Here is a 6,000-nt window from a genome sequence, read left to right as displayed (position 1 = left end):
ATTCCCGATGTCATCCAATGGCACCATTGGAACACAGTGCTTAAACTAAGAATATGTAAATAATTGGGCAGATATACAATGCTCAAGGACAGAAAGAGTCAATATTTTTAAGGTGTCCACTCCTCTCAAATTGATCTGAATATTTAAAGAAATCTCATGCCAAGTTCACGGGGCTCTTATGGTCACCTGACTGTTTTCTGTTGAAGAGTTATATTAACCGTAAACATTTTAAATTAAGTGAAAAATTTCAATTCTAGTTAGGAAGTTAGAGAAAGTAATCAGTTTACATATATGTATGTGTGTGTGTGTGTATGTATGTGTGTGTATACATATGTGTATATATATAGATGTATATATATACATATATACACATATATATACACACACATATATACGCATGTATACATATATGTGTGTGTGTGTATATATATATATATATATATATATATATATAGTTTGTTACAGAGTACAACAGAGACTATGCAGAACAAATGGTTGCTTTGAAGAAAATCAGGCATAAAATTAAGTGTGCTAACCAGGAGAGGGCTGAAAAAGTGTTTTGGAGGAATCAAATAGATTATACATGAAGGAATTTGGATTTGGACTCCCAACTCCACTACTACGTACTGCTGTAGCAAAATGTAAAGTAAATGGCTATAAAGCACACAGTAAACTAACTCCTAATAAATATTGTTATCATTACTAATATTAATTTTGAACACAAGAACCAAGGCTTCAGAGTTTTAAGAACCTATGTAAGGTCATTACAGTGAACAGAAAAATGCATTTAAAGACTCAACCATTGGAATGCAGATGATGTTTTAGGATCACAGTGAAGCCCCTTTCCCTGAGTTCAGCTCTCTCATTAGCTTGTCTTTTCCCCAAATGGAAAACAAACAAACAAACAAACAAACAAAACAGAGAAACAGATGGAATAAGTCCATTTGCATTCATTGAAGTCTATACTCTATGTATCAATACATACATAGAGTGTAGACTCATCTGATGGTTTATCCAAAATTCTTCAGAGAAAACAATCTAGCATTCACATAGAAGGCCTTCTGCAAGATTTTATTTGTATTACTCTCTGATCCAATCAAAATAATTAAAAATTATAAAAACACATTTTACGTTTTGATAACCCAAATTTGAATATAAACCTTGTTTTCCTTGTTCTTTGACATCAAGTAATTAAAAACTAAAAATTAACTTATTTTGAATGGAAAGATAGAGTAAGGAAAATTAAAAAGTTTGTTTTATTTTTTTCCCTCAGGAAACCTTTTATCTTCCATAGCTCAATCCTTGCCTCTTGGAAAAGCCAAATGTCCTCACCTCTTTCAGTAAGGCATTAATACCTGTTGTGAAAAACCCTTACCAATGCTAATTGTTCCAGCAAGCAGTGAAAGGGGAACAGCAGGCCTAGAGGTTATATGTGAAGACCTACAATACAAAGAAGTTCTATTCTTCATGGGCCTCTAAGCATGCAGCTAAGCCTCCTGATTATAAAAGGTACAGAGTGCCATTAAAAGGCATCAAGATCTCCTGAAGACAATTATAACGCATATAACATCTGTTCTCAATCATGGGCGACAGGAGAGAAAATGTGCACCGCATGATACGTTACATATGACAAAGAAGTCCAGCTGTGGGAAGAAAGGCATGTGAAAAGGCAATGGCTAAGAAAGAATAGTGCAGAGTGAGCATTGTATGACAGTGACCCATGGTGATCTCTTTGAGTAGCTCTGTGGTGCCAAAATCTGTTTGTTCTCTTTTAAAAAAGGGCCACCTGTGATATCGTCAATTATTGATACTTTTCATAAAGCAGTAGTATTTACAAGATAATTTGAATGTAACATTTCAAATAACAAACTAAAAGTGCTACATGGAGCAAAGCATTTTCTTAGCCCTTGGTTCTAATAGTCAGGATCAAAAATGCCTTTATCTCCTTTTGCAAATCTGTGTCATTCCAAACCATTTTTATATAATTTGAAATATAATTATAATAATCTCATAATGAATATTAATACAAATAATGAATGTTGAAAATAATAACTAGAAAAAATTTTGCCACCACTTACACATCTGGCTTCATTACTTCTCTTCCTCTCTCATTTTACCAGACTCCAGTCACACTGCCTCCTTGTTCTTCCAGCATAACATGAATCTCCAGATGGGTGCTCCTATATGCCGATTCTGCCTACTTGGAATGGTATTTACCAGGTGTCCACAAGGCTTGCTTCCTCACGACCTGCACACATTTAACTAGCATACTGCCGTCAGAGGAAGGCCTTTCCAATAAAATCTGATTAAAATAAAAATCATTACACACTCATCCTGTTTCTAATTTATTATTTCACAGAGCACTAGTTAGCATCTAATATACTATTTTCCTTGTTTTTCATTTTGTGTATTTACAATTATTTCCTGGAAAATGTAAGCTTTGTGAAATTAGGAGATGGGGGTTCTTTTGTTCAATGCTATCTACCTGACACTTACAATAGTGCATCGCACATGATAACAGTTCAAAATTATTTCTTAAATGATTGGATTGCCTTAGGATTTTTCTAGTTCTATAAATTTTACTTGTACAGTAAAGGGATAACCCAGTGAGCTTGGTGGGCTCAAACGTTGAATATTCCAAACATAGTGCTGGCCCCTTACTTGTTCCAGGGAGATAACCTCTGAGCCCTTGGAATATTCTGCCTATAAGAATGTCTTTGTATCCTTGAGAATCTGGGCCATACCAGATAGTTCATGCCAATAATGTAACTTTTAGTGTACAGCTGTTTTTGTGTACCTGGGGATTTGGGCCACTCTGTATCAGTTTGACCTCTGATGGGATGGAGCCAAATAGAGCAGTTTGGTTATGTGGGTGCCTCATGCCTACAAGACTGACTGCCAATAAAAACCCTGTCCTCAAAACTCAGCTGGGCTTCTCTGTTTGCCAACACTTACGTGTCACCATACGTCATTGCTTGGAGAATTAAATGGTGCCTGTTTGATGCCACTAGGGAAGAATAATTGAGGGCTTGTACCTGGTTTCTCCTAAATTCTATAGGATAAATTGTGCACTATATACCTTTTTCCTTTGCTGATTTGCTGATAAAATCAGCAAAGGAAAGGGTATAAAAAATGTAAGCCACAGGTTTTCACATATGAAATAGATATGTAAATAATATACTTAGTATTTAGTATGTAGTATATTTATTTAGTAATTTAGTATATGCATGCATATAAAGTAAAATCATACCCTACTATATTATTTTGTTTCATTTATCTTTTTATTATTTACATAGGCACTAGAAAGATTATATAATCTAAGTTCCAGATAGCAAATACAAAATGTTCTGCTCAACATCAGTCTGTTCCAGTCTGTTCAAAAGCCAGGTAGCCGTTAGACCTTTCAGACAGCTTTCAGACATGTCTAAAAACCCTCTCAGTAATGCTTACATTTAAATTATTTTTAGGCACATTAACTTTTGATCACAAACAAAGCATAATTAAGCACTTATTGTTTTTAATAATATTCAATTTAGATAGCACTGCAGATACTCTAATTTTCTGTCATTTCAAGATATCTATGTAAATTTAGTTAATTAAAAAATAATTTTAATGCCTCTTGATTTGCATTATAATTTCTAAATTAGCTATTTCCATTAAACTATTATTCAAATAATATTATACTTTTCCTAAAAAGAGATATTATATTTTTGGTATACACAGATTGAGAAAAGTAGTATGGATTTTGAAAATAAAATTCTAAAACCCACTTAGTTATAATTGATTTATGGTCATCATTGTATGCTATGTGAATATATTTACTACCACAGATTTTCCAAAAACACACAAATGTCTATATTTTCTTTACTTTTATTTTAATTTCTGTTGTACATGTGAAGGCTTGTTACATAGGTAAATTGCATGTCGTGAGGGTTTGGTGTACAGATTATTTCATCACCCACATAATAATCATAGCACCAATGATAGTTTTTCAATTCTCTCTTTCCTCCCACTCTCCACCGTCAAGTAGGCCCTAGTATCCATTGTTCCTTTCTTTGTGTCCATGTGTACTCAATGTTTAGCTGCTGCTACTTAAAAGTGAGACTATGCAATGTTTGGTTTTCTGTTCCTGCATTAGTTCATTTACGATTATGATGGATTACGGCCTGCACCTTTATCCATGTTGCTGCAAAGGAAAAATATCATTCTTTTTCATGGCTGCATGGTATTCCATGGTATATAATCACCACATATTTTTAATCCAGCCTACTGTTGATGACAATTTATGTTGATTCCCTGACTTTGCTATTGTCATTAGTGCTGTGATGAACATAGACATGCATGTGTCATTTTTTCTAACTTCTATTTTAAGTACATGGGTACATGTGCAGGTTTGTTTTTTAGGTAAATGTGTGTTATGAGGGTTTGTTGCACAGATTATTTCATCACCCAGCTTATAAGCATAGTACTCCTTAGTTATTTTTCTTGATACTCTTCCTCCTCTCACCCTCTGCCTTCTGGTAGACCCTAGTGTTTGTTGGTCCCCTCTATGTGTCCATGTGTTCTCATCATTTATCTCCCATATATAAGTGAGAACATGCAGTATTTGGTTTTCTGTTCCTGCATTAGTTTGCTAACGATAATGGCCTCCAGCTCCATCCATGTTCCTGCAAAAGGATATGATCTGATTCTTTTTTATGACTGCATAGTATTTCATGGTATATATGTACCACGTTTTAAAATCCAGTCTAACATTGATGGGCATTTAAGTTGATTCCATGTCTTTGCTATTGTGAATAGTGCTTCAGTGAACATTCATGTGCATGTGTCTTTATGGTAGAACAATTTATATTCCTTTCTGTATATACCCAGAAATGGGATTGCTAGGTCAAATAGTAGTTCTGTTTGAAATTGCCACCCTTCTTTCCACAATTGTTGAACTAATTTACACTCCCACCAACAGTGTATAAGCATTTGTTTTTCTCCTGTATTAGGGTTCTCTAGAGGGCTAGGACTAATAGGATATATGTATATTTGAAAGGGAGTTTATTAAGGAGTATTGACTCACATGATCACAAGATGAGGTCCCACAATAGGCCATCTGAAAGCTGAGGAGCAAGGAAGCCAGCCCAAGTCCCAGGACCTCAAAAGTAGGAATGCCAACAGTGCAGCCTTCAGTCTGTGGCTGAAGGCCAGAGAGCTCCTGGCAAGCCCCAGGTGTAGGTCCAAGAGTCTAAAAGGTGAAGAACTTAGAGTCTGATGGTTGAGGGCAGGAAGCATCCAGCATAGGAGAAAGCTGGAGGCCAAAAGGCTTAGCCAGTCTAGTCTTTCCACATTTCTCTGCCTGCTTTTATCCTAGCTGCACTGGCAGCTGATTAGATGGTGCTCGCCCAGATTGAAGGTGGGTCTGCCTCTCCCAGACCACTGACTCAAATGTGAATCTCCTTTGACAACACCCTCACAGACACACCCAGGAACAATACTTTGCAATCTTCAACCCAATCAAGTTGACACTCAATATTAACCATCACATCTCCTCATCCTCACCATCATCTGCTATTTTTTGTCTTTTATGTAATAGCCATTCAGAATGGTTCGAGCTGGCATTTCATTTTGGTTTTGATTTGCATTACTCTAATGATCAGTGATGGTGAGCTTTTTTTCATATGCTTGTTGACCACATATATATCTTCTTTCGAAAGATGTCTGTTCATGTTTTTTCCCACTTTTTAATGTGATTGTTTTCTTGTAAATATTTTAAGTTCCTTATAGATGCTGGATATAAGAACTTTGTCAGATGCATAGTTTGCAAATATTTTCTCCCATTTTTATGTTGTCTGTTTACTCTGTTGATAGTTTATTTTTCTGCAGAGAAGCACTTTAGTTTAATTAGAGTCCATTTGTCAATTTATACTTTTGTTGCAATTGCTTTTGGGGTCTTCCTCATGAAATCTTTGCCCATGCCTATGTCCTGAATGGTATTACCTAGGTTTTCCTCCA

The 6,000-nt window shown here is 35.4% G+C and overlaps 1 annotated feature.

The window, feature by feature from the left end:
• Positions 1,062 to 1,965: an enhancer, noted in NCBI's record as "OCT4-NANOG hESC enhancer chr5:24208573-24209476 (GRCh37/hg19 assembly coordinates)". NCBI's record gives its function as "activates a minimal SCP1, AML or CMV promoter by ChIP-STARR-seq in naive H9 embryonic stem cells {active_cell/tissue: H9 hESC(naive)}" and the evidence as "EXISTENCE:reporter gene assay evidence [ECO:0000049][PMID:30033119]".

The sequence above is a fragment of the Homo sapiens genome, chromosome 5, assembly GCF_000001405.40.
Source record: "Homo sapiens chromosome 5, GRCh38.p14 Primary Assembly".
NCBI lineage: Eukaryota > Metazoa > Chordata > Mammalia > Primates > Hominidae > Homo > Homo sapiens.
This window is presented reverse-complemented; position numbering and strand designations above follow the sequence as displayed.